The sequence below is a fragment of the Homo sapiens genome, chromosome X (genome assembly GCF_000001405.40).
Source record: "Homo sapiens chromosome X, GRCh38.p14 Primary Assembly".
Classification (NCBI taxonomy): Eukaryota; Metazoa; Chordata; class Mammalia; order Primates; family Hominidae; genus Homo; species Homo sapiens.
Window position 1 is genome coordinate 52,766,543 of NC_000023.11, and position 19,453 is coordinate 52,785,995.

The 19,453-nt window shown below is 44.1% G+C and overlaps 2 pseudogenes; one reads left to right on the top strand and one right to left on the bottom strand.

The window, feature by feature from the left end:
• Positions 1 to 4,240: 4,240 nt before the first annotated feature.
• On the top strand, positions 4,241 to 4,603 carry S100A11P8 (S100A11 pseudogene 8; annotated as a pseudogene).
• Positions 14,910 to 19,244, bottom strand: SSX21P (SSX family member 21, pseudogene; annotated as a pseudogene).

The window sequence follows — 19,453 nt, forward strand, 5'->3', positions numbered from 1 at the left end:
CAAGTTCAAGACATTCCTGGGTTCTAGGATGGCCAGAGGCTTACAGATCAAAGGAAGAATTTACAAATACAAATTTTCTCAAGGAAATGCTCTAAGGAAAGTGAAATGGAGACAGGTTTCTTCTTCCCTCTTGGCAACAGGAAAAATTCAGTTTTATGTTTAGTTACCCTTACAATTTCCCCCTTTTGTTAATTGTTTTATAGGAACACTACAATTTTCTAATTATCTCCACTGCTGTTTCTATCTTTCTCTGCGTAGTTTACAGCCACCTAGATATCCAACAAGTCCATAGTAAGATGCAAAGCAAAGCAGTTATCAAGATTGTAATAGAATGATTTTTTTTTTCGGGATGGAGTTTCGCTCTTGTTGCCCAGGCTGGAGTGCAATGGTGCGATGTCGGCTCACTGTAACCTCTGTCTCCTAAGTTCAAGTGATTCTCCCGCCTCAGCCTCCCGAGTAGCTGGGATTACAGGCATGTGCCACCACGCCCAGCTAATTTGGTATTTTTTTAGAGATGGGATTTCACCATTTTAGCCAGGCTGGTCTTCAACTCCTCACCCTAGGTGATCCACCCACCTCGGCTTCCCAAAGTGTTAGGATTACAGATGTGAGCCACCATGCCCTGCCTAGAAAGAATTTTTAAATTCAGTATAATACTCACCCTGTCAGGGGGTGGGGCAACCTTTAAGCACATCATACTGGTTAATTGTGTCAAAGTCAAAATAAATTATAGAGACAAATCCCTAAATCAAATGCTGTATTTGGGAATCACAAAATTGCAATTCAGGGCATACACACAGACTAGGGTGGTCTTCAGTATGTCCAACGAGCAAACAGAAGTTGGAAGCTTTATTAGAAAGAAAAATGTTACATATTGTTTTGAAATGAGGCTCATTGGCCCTGGAGAAGCTGGTTCATTCGCACAATCAGCTTTCACATTCCCTCTTTTGATCAACATCTTTCTTTCAAAACCTCACCGATCAGCCATCTTAAAGTGAGGCTTCATTGTCACTCCATGCCAGGATGGACCTGTGCCGGTTGTCTTTATCCCATGCCAAGGGAAAGGTAAGGGAGTCTAGATCAGGGACATGGGCCATATTTGAGCAACAAAGAGGACAGAAGGAAAAAAAATTTCAGGCAGGTTTGCCTGGAGTTCAGCATCAAGTTCCATCTTGTTAGTCGCATCTATATTAGCAAACATCTTGACGCACTGGGCTAACATTATTTTCTTGGGAGAACTGGCTTAACAAATATTAGGCAACAAGTATGGAGCTCAAAGATCATAATTCTAAAATAATTAGCAATTGTTTATTTTATTTTATTTATTTTATTATTTTACTTTATTTTATTTTATTTTATTGCAATGGATTCTTGCTCTGTCGCCCAGGCTGAAGTGCAGTGGCGTGATCCCGGCTCACTGTAACCTACATCTCCCGGGTTCAAGCGATTCTCCTGCCTCAGCCTCCCCAGTAGCTGGGATTACAGGTGCCCATCAACATGACTGGCTTATTTTTGTCTTTTCAGTAGAGATGGGGTTTCACCATGTTGGCCAGGCTGGTCTCGAACTCCTGACCTCAAATGATCCCCCCTCCTTGGCATCCCAAAGTGCTGGGATTACAGGCGTGAGCCACCACACCCAGCTATAATTAGCAACAGTAGAATAAATTTAGTTTGTACAATGGTTTTGAACCAAGATCCCAAGCCTAAGGGCCACCAGCTAAACAAATCAAAAAGCTATGGGGGAATTGAATGAGACCTCTTGTAGTCTTTGAGTAGCATTTGAGGACTGGGTCGAATTAAAGCAGAGTGCCAACTCTAAAGGGACCACTAGGTGAGGTAAAGGATTTGGGCGTCGGGTTCTGTCAAGTGAAAAATGTAGACATTCAGGGGGTAAGAGTCTCATTACGATATGAAGACTTATTCTGACGTCTTGGGAAAAGCTGTCTATAGTGTGGAAACGTCAACTTCTCATCCTGATTTGTCGTTCGAATGTCTCCGGTTATGGCATTGGACAGTTTGGTGAACTTTTTGTGTGGTCCATACATCAGGCAGCAGACTTGTTCCTTAAAATGTATGCACTGTTATCTTACAGAACTTGTAGATCAAAAATAAAATCCTATCCCCCGCCAACCCGCAACCATTTGAATGGACTTCTTCCTCAGCCAGGGCTCTTTTAAAATTTAACCTGAGAGATGGTTTCAGGCCATGACAGGAAGTGGGGGTCAGGCATGCCTCATTATACCTCTCTGGCATCAACATCAACACAGACTTTCAGTCTAATAAGAAACATGTTACAACCTAGTCTCTCTGAAGCCTAGTACCTGAAGGCTTCCTCTGCAAATAAGAACTTGGGTCTCCACAATCCTTTATCTTAACCCAGGCATTCCTTTCTGTTGATCCTAGGGTTTTGTTTTGAGATGGAGTCTCTCTCTGTCGCCCAGGCTGGAATGCAATGGGCGGGATCTTGGCTCACTGCAACCTTTGTCTCCCAGGTTCAAGCAATTCTTTTGCCTCCTGTAGCTGGGACCACAGGCGTGGGCCACGACACCCAGCTAATATTTTGTCCTTTTAGTAGAAAAGGGGTTTTGCCATGTCGCTCAGCCTGGTCTTGAACTCCTGGCCTCAAGTGATCTGTCCGCCTCGGCCTCCCAAGGTGCTGGGATTCCAGGCGTGAGCCAACACGCCCAGCCTACTGATTAGGTTTCTTCTTGCTTAGGAAAACTGAGCTTTGAAAGGGTAAGTTTTTAAGTCCATGTAACTTTCTGTATTGCTTTTGAAGTCTGTGGACTATCACTCTGGTTAAATGAGTGACTATTATTTCACAGTGACCCGTGATCCTGTTTTGCACAAGTGTTTTGAGCCTTTTAACATCTTTGACAAACTTCCCCAAAATGCAATTCTTTTTTAATTTATCTATTGCTGTTGAACAAACTAATCAAATTCTAATTTAAGTCTTTTTAACCTAAAATTGACTTTGAGATTTACCAGTGAGGCCCCTGGAGAGCCTCAAAGAATGTGTCTCTCATTAGGCTTATTTGATATGTCACATTATATGAAAAACAATGTCAGATAATAAAAAATACTAATTGGTGTTTACATTTATATAGATATATTATTGATGTTAATGTTCAGAAGATCATATAAAATTTACAGAGGTCTGATGGTCCTGGTGTGATGCTGTTAGTCATGATTCTGGTTGTTATCTTAAAATTCTCTCTATAATAGAAATAACTGAATTTCCTTGTCAATTATTGAACTTTCATCGGATTTTAATCGTTACTATTCTAAGCTTTATCATCTACAGTGCTGATTCTTCTCTAAAGGCATCCAGAATCAGATTCATAAAAAATATTTTAACAAGTACTGTTGAATATAGATTTGTAATAACTTTCAGATCAATGAACGAAATGAATTATTTTTGAAAACTCTAACGAAAACTGATGGGTTCATGCAACTGATTATCAAGATCAAGCAGAACAAACATTAATTATATGAGGCTAAATAACCAATAATGTTTTTGTGACCTTTATTTAAAACTTTATTTATTCTTGGGCTGGGTGCAGTGGCTCACACCTCTGATCCCAGCACTTTTGGAGGCTGGAACAGGAGGATCCCTTGAGTGCAGGAGTTCAAGACCAACCTGGGAAATATAGGAGACCTGGTTTCTGAAAGAAATTAAGAAAATAAAACTTTATTTGTTTTTTACCTAAATGTTTTGTTTTCCACATTTAAGAAAATTTTCTGGTGGGATGTGGTGGCTCACTTTGGAAGCCAAGGCAGGAGGATCGCTTGAGCCCAGGAGTTCCAGACCCGATTGGGCAACATGGCAAAACCCTGTCTCTACAAAAACAAAAACAAAAATAAGAAGATTAGCTGGGCATGGTGGCACGCACCTGTGGTCCCAGCTACTTGCAAGGCCGAGGTGGGAGGATCACTTGAGTCGGGACGCAGAGGTTGCAGGGAGCCGTGTTTGCACCACTGCACTCCAGCCTGGGCGACGGGGCGCAATCCTTTCTCAAAAAAATGAAAAAAAAAAGAGAAAATTTTCTCTGTTAAACTATCTATAGTTTATAATAATTTTGTGAAGTATACTTTTGTAAACTGAGATGGAAATGTTTGCTTTTTCTTACTACTCAATTCCTCCAGAATTTGAAAACTATTTGTAAATATTCCTATGGCAATATGGTTATTTACACAGGTCCAGTAAAAACCTGCTCTTGGTGCCTCATTCAACTCCAACATGGCAAAAGTCTCCAGCCCTACAGAGAGTCCCTGATTGCTATTTTCCAGAAATAGGCTGGAAAGGATGGTTACGATAGCATTCACTCCAAGATGGAGTTCCCAAGCTTCATGAATACAGAACTGGATGCCTTCATGAAGAACCAGAGGCCCCCAGTGTCTTTGACCACATGATGAAGAAACTGGACCTCACTAGTGATGGGCAGCTGGATTTCCAAGAATGTCTGCATCTGATGGATGGCATGACTGTGGCTTACCATGACTCTTTTCTCAAGGCTGCCCATTCCAAGAAGCGGATCTGAGGATCCCCTGGGCCTGGTTTCCAAGCCACCCCCTTTCCTTCCAGCCTCACCATCACCATCTCCTCACAGCCCACACGTACCCTGGGCCCAGCACACCCACCACCTCATGCAGGCCCTGCCTGCAGGTAGTAATAAAACCATTCCCGCCTCCGTGCCGCTCCACCGCTCCCCCTCCCCTGTCCCCTTCCTCCCCCTCCCCTCGCCCTTCTCCCCCCCTTTCCTCCCCTCCCCTCTCCTCTCCTCCGTTCCTCTTCTCTTCTCTCAAGTACACCCACCACCTCATGCAGGCCCTACCTGCAGGTAGTTATAAAACCATACTTCTTTTCTCTTTTCCATCTTTCCTTTTTTTTTTCTTTTTCTTTTTTTTTTTTTTTTTTTTTTTTTTTTTTTTTTTAGCAATGGGGGTCTAGTTATGTTGCCCAGGTTGATCTTGAACTTCTGGGCTCAAGTGGCCTCCCAAAGCTCTGGGATTTTAGGTGTGAGCCATTGCACCTGACCCACCTTTTTTCTAAACACACACAAAAAAATCTGCTCTCTCTTTATAGACAGATACAATTAAAAACATTGGTTATAAGGCCGGGCATGGTGACTCACACCTGTAATCCCAGCACTTTGGGAGGCTGAGGTGGGTGGATCACCTGAGATCGGGAGTTTGAGACCAGCCTGGCCAACATGGGGAAACCACATCTCTACTAAAAATTATAAAGAAAAAATGTAGTAGGGCATGGTGGTGTACATGTGTAATCCTAGCTACTCAGGAGGCTGAAGCAGGAGAATTGCTTGAAACCAGGAGGTGGAGGCTGCAGCGAGCTGAGATCTCAGCAGTCTGGGTGACAGAGCAAGACTGTCTCAAAAAGAAAAAAAAATTGGTTATATTACCAAGGCTTTCATCAAAATGCATGGAATGCCTGACTTCAAGTGTTTTTAGCTTTAGAGTGGGTGAATAAAAACGGTCACTTTCTGTCAGGCCCAGGAACCTTAAGAAGGTAGGTGAAATCTAAAGTCGGCCTTGGTTTGACTTTCTATGCTCAAGAGGTTTTTAAATCTGAGATTCCTAAGTGATCAATGTATAGAGAAAAATTATGTTGCTAAAGAAAAGCTCTAATAGACCAGTTATTAGATTGTAGCTCTCTGCATTTTTTCGAGTTCTTGTGTTTTTTTTCTTTTTGTGTTGTTGTTGTTGTTTTTGAGACAGAGTCTCGCTCTGTCACCAGGCTGGAGTGCAGTGGCGGGATCTCGGCTCACTGCAACCTCTGCCTCCCGCATTCAAGCGATTCTCCTGCCTCAGCCTCCCGAGTAGCTGGGACTACAGGTGCATGCCACCACGCCCGGCTAATTTTTGTATTTTCAGTAGAGACGGTGTTTCACCATGTTGGCCAGGATGGTCTCAATCTCTTGACCGCGTGATCCGCCCGCCTCGGCCTCCCAAAGTGGTGGGAATACAGGCCTGAGCCACTGCGCCTGGCCGAGTTCTTGTTATCTACATACAGACTAGACTAGATCCAACTTTTTCCCATAAAATTACTAAAAACAGAAACTGCTCTGTTCCTGAAGCCTGCTGATGAAAAGAGTCAAACTCTGGAAAACACTTGAAGAGACTTATTCTGAGCCAAATAGGAGCGACCATGGCCCATGACACAGCCTCAGGAGGTCCTGAGTTGCCCAAGGAGGTTGGGGTGCAGCTTGGTTTTACAGATTTTATGGAGACTCAATCAAATACATTTAAGAAATACATTGGTTTGGTCCAGAAAGGCAGGACAACTCGAAGCAGGGGCTTCCAGCTTACAGGTAGATTAAAAAATTTTCTAGTTGACAATTGGTTGGGTTTTCTAAAAACCTAGGATCGGCCAGGCCTGGTGGCTCGTGCCTATAATCCCAGCACTTTGGGAGGCTGAGGCAGATGAATCACCTGAGGTGAGGAGATGGAGACCAGCCTGGCCAACATGGTGAAACCCCGTCTCTACTAAAAATACAAAAAAATTAGCTGGATGTGATGGCGGGTGCCTGTAACCCCAACTACTGGGTAGACTGAGACAGGAGAATTGCTTGAATCCGGGTGGCAGAGGTTACAGTTGGCAGAGAATGCACCATTATACTCCAGCCTGGGCAACAGATCTAGACTCTGTCTCAAAGCAAAAACAAACAAACAAACAAACAAACAAACAAAAATGCCTAGGATCAACAGAAAGGAATGCCTGGGTTGAGATAAAGGATTGTGGTGACCCAAGTTCTTATTTGCAGAGGAAACCTTCAGGTACTAGACTTCAGAGAGACTAGGTTGTAACATGTTTCTTATGAGATTTAAGTCTGTGTTGATATTGATGCCAGAGAGGTATAATGAGGCATGTCTGACCCACAAGTCCTGTCATGGCCTAAAACAGTCTCCCAGCTTAATTTTAAAAGAGCTCTGGCTGAGGAGGACGTCCATTCAGATGGTTAAGGGTGGGGGTGCTTAGGATGCTATTTTTGGTTTACAAATACTCTAAGACAAAAACTGCATAATTTTTTTTTTTTTTGAGATGGAGTCTCACACTGTTGCCAAGGCTGGAGTGCAGTGGTGAGATCTCGGCTCACTGCAACCTCCGCTTCCCGGGTTCAAGCGATTCTCCTGCCCAAACCTCTCGAGTAGCTGGGACTACAGGCACGTGACAACATCCCCGGCTAATTTTTTGTATTTTTAGTAGAGGCGGGGTTTCACCGAGTTACCCAGGATGGTCTCTATCTCCTGACCTCGTGATCTGCCCACCTCAGCCTCCCAAAATGCTGGGATTACAGGCATGAACCACTGCACCTAGCCAAACTGCATACATTTTAAGGAACAAGTCTCGTGTCTGATGCATGGACCACACAAAAAGTTCACCAAACTGTCGAATGCCATAACCAGAGACATTCGAACGACAAATCAGGATGAGAAGCTGACGATTCCACATTGTAGACAGCTTTTCCCAAGATATCAGAATAAGTCTTCATATCATAATGAGACTCTTATCCCCTTAATGTCTACATTTTTCACTTGGCAGACCATGACTCCCAAATCCTTTGATTCACCTAGTGAATCCTTTTTATAGAGTGGTCCCTTTTATAGAGTTGGCACTCTGCTTTAATTCAACCCAGTCCTCAAATGCTACTCAAAGACTATAAGAGGTCTCATTCAATTCCCCCATAGTCTTTTGATTTGTTTAGCTGGTGGCCCTTAGGCTTGGGATCTTAGTTCAAAATCATTGTACAAACTAAATTTATTCTACTATTGCTAATTATAGCTGGGTGCGGTGGCTCGCGCCTACCGTCCCAGCACTTTGGGATGCCAAGGAGGGCGGATCACTTGAGGTCAGGAGTTCGAGACCAGCCTGGCCAACATGATGAAACCCCGTCTCTACTGAAAAGACAGAAATTAGCCGGGCGTGGTGGTGAGCACTTGTAATCCAAGCTACTCGAGAGGCTGAGGCAGGAGATTCGCTTGAACCCAGGAGGTGGAGGTTGCAGTGAGCCGGGATCACGCCACTGCACTCCAGCCTGGGTGACAGAGCAAGACCGCGTTGCAATAAAATAAAATAAAATAAAATAATAAAATAAAATAACGATAGCTAATTACTTTTGTATTATGATCTTTGAGCTCCATTCTTGTTGCCTGTCTAATATTTGTTAAGCCAGTTCTACCAACAGGAAAATGTTGGCCTAGTGCTTCAAGATGAATGCTAATATAGATGGGACTAACAAGATGGAATTTGATGCTGAACTCCAGACAAACCTGCCTGAATTTTTTTTTTTCCTTCTGGCCTCTTTGTGGCTCAAATATGGCCCATGTCCCTGATCTAGACTCCCTTACCTTTCCCTTGACATGGGACAAAGACAACCGGCCCACGTCCATCCTGGCATGGAGTGACAGTGAAGCCTCACTTTAAGATGGCTAATCAGTGAGGTTTTCAAACAAAGATGTTGATCAAAAGAGGGAATGTGAAAGCTGATTGTGCGAATGAACCAGCTTCTCCAGGGCCAATGAGCCTCATTTCAAAACAATATGTAACATTTTTCTTTCTAATAAAATTTCCAACTTCTGTTTGTTCGTTGGACACACTGAAGACCACCCTAGTCCTTGTATATGCCCTGGATTGCAATTTTGTGATTCCCAAATACAGCATTTGATTTAGGGATTTGTCTCTATAATTTATTTTGACTTTGACACAATTAACCAGTATGATGTGTTTAAAGGTCCCGCCGCCCAAACAAGGGGAGTATTATACTGAATTTAAGAATTCTTTCTAGGCAGGGCATGGTGGCTCACGTTTGTAATCCTAATACTTTGGGAGGCCGAGGTGGGCGGATCACCTGGGGTAAGGAGTTCAAGACCAGCCTGGCTAAAATGGTGAAACCGCATATCTACAAAAAATACCAAATTAGCTGGGCGTGGTGGCACATGCCTGTAATCCCAGCTACTCGGGAGGCTGAGGCAGGAGAATCGCTTGAACTCAGGAGACAGAGGTTGCAGTGAGCCGACATCGCACCACTGCACTCCAGCCTGGGCAACAAGAGCGAAACTCTGTCCTGAAAAAAAAAATCATTCTATTATAATCCTGATAATTGCTTTGCTTTGCATCTTACTATGGACTTGTTGGATATCTAGGTGGCTGTAAACCACACAGAGAAAGATAGAAACAGCAGTGGAGATAATTAGAAAATTGCAGTGTTCCTATAAAACAATAACAAAAGGGGGATATTGTAAGGGTAACTAAACATAAAATTGAATTTTTCCTGTTGCCAAAAGGGAAGAAGAGACCTTTCCCCATTTCACTTTCCTTAGAGCATTTTCTTGAGAAAATTTGTATTTGTAAATTCTTCCTTTGATCTGTAAGCCTCTGGCCATCCTAGAACCCAGGAATGTCTTGAACTTGAACTCCAGGCCTCAAGTGATCCTCCAGCCTCAGCCTCCCAAAGTGTTGGGATTACAGGCGTGAGCCACCACGCCCATCCCCTAGGAATGTCTTTCTTCAGGGCCTTGGAGCCATCTCTTTGAAATGTGAACATTGAGGAAGATGATGTCCTTGTCTCCCTGTCACCAGAGGAGTTTAGCCTAGGTGCCTCGCTCCAAGCTGTAAGCACCTGGTTGTCACAGAGACATGAGTTTTACTTTTCCTTCAGATAAAGGCAATTAACTAACACAGATGGGTACTCCAGTTACTCGGTGAACTTAGGACTTGCCTGGGAGTATTCAGTTTTCACCCTTGGCTGCTGCTTTACAACTAGGCAAAGTAGCTACATACCTGGACTTTCTGACTTCTGCTACCACTTTTGTGTTTGTTTGTTTGTTTGTTTGTTTTGTTTTGTTTTTGAGATTGAGTCTCGCTCTGTCCTCCAGGCTGGAGTATAATGGTGAGATCTCAGCTCAGTGCAACCTCTGCCTCTCGAGGTCAAGCGATTCTCCCACCTCTGCCTCCGGAGTATCTGGGATTACGGGTGCACGTCACCATGCCCAGCTAAATCTGTACTTTTAGTATAGACGGGGTTTCACCATGCTATCGAGGCTGGTCTCGAGCTCCTGACCTCACGATCTGCCTGCATCGGCCTCCCAAAGTGCTGGAATTACAGGCGTGAGCCACCACACCTGGCCTCTGCTACCACTTTTGGATTGTATGAAAAAACTACACTTCCAAGTGTGGGATCTGGCTTCCCAGACAGCTGCCAAGGGGGCAGATGATGCAATCTAGAAGTGTAGGGGAGCTCGTGCCTGTGGGATAAATTTTGACCGTTAAGAAAAGGAACCAGGAGTGAGAGCCAGGTATGTAAATTCCCTCTCCTCTCCTCTCCCCCTGCACCGTTCCAGGCATGGTTTCTCGGTATAGTCTGTCTAGAGGTGTCCGGAATGGCCCAAATTCTGTTTCCTTGGGAACCTGAGCTAAAACAATGGGCATGCAAACACTCGAAGAGAGTGCTAAGTGTTGTGGAGGACCTAGATCTGGGCAGAGGAAAATTATTGCAATAAGAAAATGGACAATTTGAGGATTTGGAATAGAGGGAAGGACTAGAAGAACCAGTAGTAGAATAGCTTAGGGGTAATAATTTTGGAGAAAAAGGCAGTTCTGGTGATTTTTGCTGTGAACTGCTCAGCTCTGTAAAATATACACTTCTTTCTTTCCATCAGTCTTCTCTATGAAATCTTCCATAAAGTATCCTTTTATAACTCTCTATTGCCTGTGAAGTGATTTTTCTTTTTTTCTTTTTCTTTTTGTTTAGAGATAGAAACTCTGTCGCCCAGCCTGGAGTGCAGTGGTGCCACCTTGGCTCACTGCAATCTCTGCCTCCCGAGTTCAAGTGATCCTCCCGTCTCAGCTGCCCTAGTAGCTGGGAATACAGGCGTGCGCCACCAGGCGTGGCTAATTTTTTTTTTATTTTGTATTTTTAGAAGAGATGCGGTTTCACCATCTTGGCCACCCTGGTCTCGAACTCCTGACCTCAGGTGATCTACACACCTCGGCCTACCAAAGTGCTGGGATGACAGGCATGAGCCACCGCACCCAGGCTATCAGGTTTTGTTTTGTTTTGTTTTGTTTTTGTTTGTTTTTTTTTTTTTTTTGAGAATAAAACAGATTGAGTCTTGTGCCAAAATGCAGGGGAAGCTGCACCCAGACAGGTAACAAATTATTATATACAGTAATAGATAGCTTTTCTACATACCAATAATAACCATTTAGAAATCCAAATTGAGAAAAATTACACATATATAGTGACAAAAGTACATAAAATATCTAAAACCAGATGATTGAAGCAAGATGGCAGATAGATCCCGTACCCTACCCAACATTCCTTCGAACTTGGAAGTGCAGTGGGAGATCTCGCCACTGCGCTCCAGCCTGGGTGACAGAGTGACATTCTGTCTCAAAAAAAAAAGGAAAGAAAAAAACAAATAATAATAATAAAAGTAATGTATCAGAACTTGACGGAACTTCAGACCTTCACTGTAATAGTGAAGGAGAGAAACACATTTGTGGAGAGGGGACCATGTTCACTCTTTATCCCTGATAGACAGATAGTCGGGAGTTTTATATACCCATGGAACCTAACGAAAAATGTTCCCTGTCATGACTCACAATCTTCCAGCCACCCTTCTTTGCACCTGTCTTGTGGGCTGGGGGACTCAACTTATGGATCCCATCTTCCCAGGGAGAAAGAAAAATCAAATCCTTCGGTATCTCCTTTAGGGTATCCTCTCCTCTATTTGCATGGAGGGTAAGGCACTCAATATCTAGTATTGGAATGTTACATTTGTGTAATACAGAACTATATTGGGATAAAATAGAATTTGTTTCCTCTGAGACACAGGTAGAGGTATGTCCACACTGACCTGGGTGGCAGCCATCTCTTCCTGCAGTGCCAGGCAGGGCATGCTCACAGATCTAGGGAACCTCTTGCTCCTGGAGGCCCACAACCTCCTTCCTGGCACCCTCTCCCTCTGGTGGCTGTGACAGCCCACACTTGGTCTTGGGTATCCCCTGCTTCTTTGCCTGCCTCTCTTCTGCCCAGGCTGCACATCTCTGTCTCCCACTGTCCCCACTATGTCCACGATTGCCTCTTCCTCCCTGCACTCTCCATCTCTAAGGGCTCCCTGTCTTGGAAAATGAACCCACAACCTCTACCTTGCGACTGGGGACAGAACCTGGAGTTTGTTCAATTCTCCCTCCCTCCACCACACACACCTTTCCTCCTTAATATTTCTAGAGTCAATGAACTCCAAACTCAGCCCCTCCTGCACCTGCCAGCTGTAGGACCTGTGACAAGATGCCTACCATCTGTCTGGGACTCCCTCTCTCATCTATCATATAGGCATAATGATGATAGTGTCCTCCTTCCAAGGCTGGGGAGAACCAGGAGGCCAAGGTGATGGGGTATGAATGGTCAAAAGAGCTCCAGTCCTGCCTCCACCCGGGGCTGGTGTTTCAAGTCTGTTGTGTGTGAATGGAGGTTTAATGTCTTCATTCACACACACTGGTTTGTTCTAAAACGGACTCCCCTCTGCCCTTCCTTCCCCACAACTGTTCCACCTCCGCACCGTGCAGTGGTATATGTGAGAAAGAACTGTCCCATTCCCAAATCATCGTCCCCACCCCAGCCCCCAGGCCCTTGGTTGGTGAGATCCTTGATGGGCAGTCTCACGCTCCTGTCCAGGAGACTTTCCCACCGTTGCTCCTTTGCATGGAGACTAAGTGGACTCTTCTATTCCCTGTGCATCACAGGGTCTACAGTGCACGCATCTTCCTCATCCCTCTGCGTTCCCCAGATGACGATTTCATCTGTGTCTCCTCCTACATACTCCCAAATGGACCGTCCCAGCCCTAGAACCCGAAAATGGTTCAGAGAGCGAAGGCCAAGATGCCCAAACACCTGCTGCAGAATCCTGCTCCAGGACTGAAGTGTATAGTCTCTATCAAAATAAAAACTGGAGGCCAGGTGCGGTGGCTTACGCCTGTAATCCCAATATATTAGGAGGCCAAGGTGAGAGGATTGCCTGAACCCAGGAGGTGGAGACCAGCCTGGGTAACATAGTGAGACTCTCTAGACAAAACCTAAAAAAATCAGTGGGGCGTGATGGCGCATGCCTGTAGTCACAGCTACTCTGGAGGCTGCTGTGGGAGGATCACTTGAGCCCAGGAGTTCAAGGCTGCATTGAGCTATGATCATGCCACTGCACTCTAGCCTGGATAGAGCAAGACCCCATCTCTAGAAGAAACAAACAAACAAACCAAGAAACCCAACAACGGGAAACATCTTCCTCTAGAATGGGGGTCAGAAACATCTGTCTGCCTTGTTCCCTGGTGTCTCTCCAGCACCTAGAACAGCGCTCAGCATGAGTATGCACTCATTAGTTTTTTGTTGAATAAGTGACTCGTTTGACACAGCAATTCCACTTCTAAGAATCTTTCCTAAAGAAATATTCATACACATGCAGAGAGCTGTGTGCACAATAATGAGAGGAGCAAACAACTGGGGAACGTTTGCAAATGTTTATTAACTGTCAGTGACTGATAGAGGGGAATCGGATGAGGGGAGTACAAGCAGATGGGAGATGCTTATAGTGTTACTTGGTGTTTGTGTGTGTGTGTGTGTGTGTGTGTGTGTGTGTGGTGTAAATGCAGAGGAAAAAATCTGAAATTAAACACTCAGACCTCCCCTCAGCAGTCACATCTGGGGAGAGAGGAGGGTAGTGCTGTTCTATGGAGAGAATACCTGACTATACTTGTTTTCTAAGGTAGGTGCATGGATACACAAACCGAAATATGCATTAAGTATGTCTTGCTGATCAGTGAAAATGTTAATATCTAACAGAATGGCACACTGTAAGAAAGTACAACGTAAACTCTAACATCGAACTCTTGGCACACTAAGAAAAATGACGCTCAACTTTTCACTGTTGTGAACACTTGCTTTCACTTGCTATGCACCTGATGACGAGGGGTCCACAGCCATGCCCGTGTTCATGAAAGGTCACCACGTTCTGCTTCTCATCATGGGCATGTGTCGTATCCCCGAGGCTGAGGCAAGAAGAGAGAAGGAAAGTAAGTGGCAGTGAGTTCCCACCACGTGACAACTCAACCTCAACTCCTCCTGACCTGCAGACCCTGCACACTCTGATTCTGTCCTACCTCAGGACCTGCACACGCCTTCCACGGTTCCTCGAAGTGAACCATCTGTTCATGCCACAGTGACTTCTTCGCCTGGGTGATCCATTCCTAGGCTAGAGGAAGGTGTGGCCCGCATATCAGGGCTGACCTGGGGTTTGGGAACCCACAGCATCCTGGGTAGGGAGCATCCCTGGATATACAGGGTAGAGAGTAGAAAGAGCATGGGAAATCGGCCGGGTGCGGTGGCTCACGCCTGTAAACCCAGCACTTTGGGAGACCGAGGCAGGTGGATCCCGAGGTCAGGAGTTCGAGACCAGCCTGACCAACATGGTGAAAGTTCATCTCTACTAAAAATACAAAAATTAGCCGGGTGTGTGGGGTGCACACGTGTAATCCCAGCTACTCAGGTTGCTGAGGCAAGAAAATTGCTTGAACCGGGATGCGGAAGTTGCAGTGAGGCGAAATCGGGCCACCACATCCAGCCTGGGCGACAGAGCAAGAATCCCTCCAAAAAAAAAAAAGAAAGAAAGAAAAAGAAAGAAAGAAAGAAAGAAAGAAAGAAAGAAAGAAAGAAAGAAAGAAAGAAAGAAAGAAAGAAAGAAAGAAAGAGAATGGGAAATCTCATCATTCAGCCTCAATGCTGTACCCTAGAAAAGGGAATGATTTGGGGAGCAAGTGACAGATGGGATACCAGTATCATAACAGAATAGCACATCTGCAGGGATGTGGGGGATGAGCGGAAGGTTCACTTACGGAGTTACTCGTCATCTTCCTCAGGGTCGCTGATCTCTTCATAAATCACCAGCTGCTTTCTCTCACGCAGTCTGTGGGTCCAGGCATGTTTCCCCCTTTTGGGTCCTATGATGGAGAATAGTTGGAAAGTGAGGGTTGGGTGGGTTGGAGAGTGTTAGGCTCTGTTTTCTCAAAAAAGGAGATGCCTCCCCACCACCAAGTGCCCATGGGCCTTCTTTATCCAGTTTTTCACATTCTCTGGCTTAGAGAGGCTGAGGCCTTAGATCCACACCAATACACCACAAATACCAATTAAAGTTTTAGCTTCTGGCTCCTTCCGTTGTCAGGTTTAGATTCCCAGCCTCTTCACTTATGGGAACACTCACCCATACCTCCTTTCATGCTGCACGTATTTGTTAAGGGCACAAGGCAAACCTTGTTTTATGGCACCTCATTTTTATCCTGCTTCGCAGATACTGCAATTTTTTTTTGAAATTCTCACCAATTTTACACTTTTCCATTATTATTATATCTGTTATAGTGATCTGTGATCAGTGAGCTTTGATATTATGATTGCGATTGTTTTGTTGTTCTTTAGTCTTTTAAAATAATTTTTTTTTATTTTTGTGGGTACGCAGTAGGTCTATATACTTATGGGGTACGTGAGATGTTTTGATACATGCATGCAATGCATAATAATCACATCATGGCAAATAGGGTATCCGTCCCCTCAACCATTTATCCTTGTGTTACAAACAATCCATTTACACTGTGTTAGTTTTTTTAAATGTGCAATTAGGTTATTACTGACAATAATCACCCTGTTGTGGGTAATTGTTTTAGGGGTAACAGGAACTGCACCCACAGAAGATGACAAACTTAATTGATCAATGTTGTGTGTGTTCTGACTGCTCCACCGATGAGCTCTTCCTTGCCTACCTTCCTTTTCTTGGGCCTCCCTATTTCTTGAGACACAGCAATACTGAAATTAGGACAATGAACAACCCTACAATGGCCACTAAGTGTTCAAAGGAAGGGAAGAGTCGCATGTCTCTCACTCTAAATCACAAGCTAGAAATGGCTAAGCTTAGTGAGGAAGGCACGCTGAAAGCCAAGACAGGCTGAAAGCTCGGCCTCTTCCACCAAACAGCCAAGCTGTGATTGCAAAGGAAAAGTTCTTGAAGGAAATAATAGTATATAATGCAAAGGAAAGGTCTTGAAGGAAATAATAATACTAATACTCCAGTGAACACACAAATAAGAAAGTAAAGCAGCCTTACTGCTGAAATAGAGGAAGATTGCGTGGTCAGGACAGAACATGAAACCAGCCACAACATTCCCTTAAGCCAAAGTCTAATTCAGAGAAAGACCTGAACTCTCTTCACGTCCATGAAAGCTGAGAGAGGTGAAGAAGCTGCAGGAGAAACACGTGAAGCTAGTAGAAGTTGGTTCGTGAGGTTTAAGGAAAGAAGCCATCTCCATAACATAAAAGTGCAAGGTGAAGCAGCAAACCCTGATGGAGAAGCTGCAGCAAGTTATCCAGGAGATCTAGCTAAGATCACTGATGAAGGTGGCTACACTAAACAACAGATTTTCAATGTAGATAAAATAGCCTTCTATTGGAAGGAGATGCCATCTAGGACTTTCATAGCTAGAGAGGATTGACTCCAACTTTGAAAGAAGTTCTACTGTGGGTAAAATGCTATCCAGTAGCATCACACACTACAGGGAAATCTTTCATGAAAGGGAGAGCTAATCAATGTGGCAAATTTCACCGTTGTGTTCTTTTAAGAAACTGCCACAGCCACTCCAATCTTCAGCAACCACCACCTTGATCAGCCAGCAGCCATTAACACCAAGGCAAGACCCTCCACCAGCAAAAAGAGTGTGACTCACTGAAGGCTCAGAAGATTGTTAGCATTTTTTATCAATGAATTATTTTAAAATTAAGGTATGTACATTTTTAGACAATGCTATTGCACACTTAGTAGAGTACACTATAGTGAAAACGTAATGTTTTTATGCACTGCGAAACGACAATAACAAAAAAAATGTGTGACTCACTTTATTGCAGTGGTCTGGAACCGAACCTGCAATATCTCTGAAGTACAACTGATTGGGTATCAGGCATTGAGCTGCGTAAGACATGATCCCAGGTAATTAATTACAGATAGAATTGCTTGAGCACCTTTCATGTCATCAGGCCTTCTAGACTAAATATAATGTCTCCAAACAATTTGTGAACTATGATTCTTTACTTCCATCGTATGGACTGGGAATCTGGAGCTGAGAAAATTTGGAAGACTTGCCCCAAGTCACGTGGTTGTATATGGATGACAACTCCACTCTGTGTCTCTGGAAGTCATGTCTAACATCTCTTCTGGCGCTGGGCAAGCTCCTCAGCTCAGCCGGGACCCAGGCTTGTCTGGGGTCCGTGCCACACACCCAATCCACACACCTGAACATAGCCAGGAAAGCCAGAGGGTTTGTTCCCGAATTGTTTCCTCTTACCAGATCTCTTGTGAATCTTCTAGAGGTATTTGCTTTTCCTGGGTGGGCACAGCTGCTTCGGATCGTTTTGTGGGGCAGATGCTTCTGGCACTCCCTTCTAATCATTTCCTTCCTCTGCTGGCTTCTTGGGCATGATCTTTATAATGTGAAGGTCACAGATAAACAGAATCAGTGCCATTTCTATAGTGCTTTAGAGCTTACAAAGCGTCTTCGCATGCATTACCTTAATCAATGTTCTCAACAAAGCTGGGAGAGTTACACTTGCCTAAATTAGGAGAAACCTGGGAGGGGAGGTTAGAAGGGAAAGGATTGGCCTACATGAATGGGGTTTCCAGGGATAGAATGCTTATCTTCCCACTCTTTTAGGACTGACATTCTTGCAAACAGCAAAAATCTCCATGTAATTGAGAGTGTGATATACAGAAGATTTGGAGCATAGCATTCTAAGAATTCACAGGTCTGCAAAAGGAAGAGCTTCTATAAAATACAAGGGATCCCATATAAGCTCGTAGACAGCTGCTGGGAGGGTAAATGTAAAAACATAGGGAGGGGACGAAACACTGCTGGGAAAGATGGTGTGGGGAGAGGAATACAGGGAAGGGAGAGGGAAAGAAATGGTTTGCTGAAATTAATCCAGGCAGCAAAGAAAGCAGTACCAGATCTGGCATACCAGCCTACCGAGGCACCAACATTGAATGTGGAATTCAGTGAGGTGGTACCCATATCAATTCTGGTTGCACTGGGATGGGTCACTGACCAACAGTCTTAAGCTACATTTATTCAGCTTCCTCACTTATGAAATAGTGAACAATACATGTAAAATAGGCTAAGGGAAAGTCCTCTCTGAGCTTATAAACACTGTTTAAATGTAGTAATAATAACAATTAATACCTTTCATGATCCTTCTTTGAATTTGTCCTCCATACTGGCAACCCAATCCCAGATCCCTTTACCCTCTAAACCGGAATTGAATATGTAGTTGTGGAGTCACTCGTTCAGGGGCCTCCAAGGAAACCCCTGGGCTGGGACTGGGGTTTCTCGGATGCACCAGGTGTAGAGAAAGCCCTCAAGGAGCTCACAGTAGGGAGGGGCCCACAGTCAAACCTATTCCTAAGCCATGCGAGTGGCCCCAGTAACGGATCAGAAGCCAGCTGGTCCTTCCTGTTGCGAGAGTGGGTGTCTCCTTGGAAGCACCAGCAGGCCCTATGGGGTAAAGCCCTAGTGAGCAACATCTGAACTTCATAAACAAATGCAAACGTGAATGAGCTTTAAATGGCTTGGAGCTCTGGATCAGACTACCACTGCCACTGCACCTCAGGAAAATTCTCTAACATCTCTGTACCACGATAGTCTCATGTTATTATTATTTTGCTGATAACTATGATCTAAAACATGAACTATGATTCTTTACTTCCATTTCATGGCCCAGGAGTCTGGAGCTCAGAGAACTTAGAAGATTTGCGCCAAGTCACATGGCTTTTGTGTGGATGACAACTGAAATGTATGAGACATTATTTGGAGATAATAATAGAAACAACGTCATAGACGTATTCTTAAGGATTAAATAAATTAATCCATGTAACCTGCTTAGAATATCTGGCATCACTATGAAAACAAAAGAAGTGTTAAGGATTACAACTGTCAGTGTTATCAAGCCGTCAATGCTACATCAGGTGTTGTGATAGACATGGGAAAAAGGAGGCAGTGAGGGCATTTTTGATATTCTCCCACTCTTACCAGTTTTCGCATCCATGGAGGGACAAAGGTTCTCTGGTCATTTAGATTTGAGAGATACTCACCTTCGGGAAGATTCTCTAGAGTCTGCCGAAAGTCATCTGAGGACATTCAACTGAAAGAGAATACATCAGAATTTTTCTTTGTTGGTAAAGATTTCCAAAAAGTGCTGGGATTACAGGCCTGAGCCACTGCGCCCAGCGTTGTCTAAGCTATTGAAAATTTGTTACAGCTGCAATAAAAAATGAATGCACATAGAAACATTTATTAGTGAAACAAAATAGAAAGTCAAGAAACAGACTAATCTATACGCAAATTTCAGCA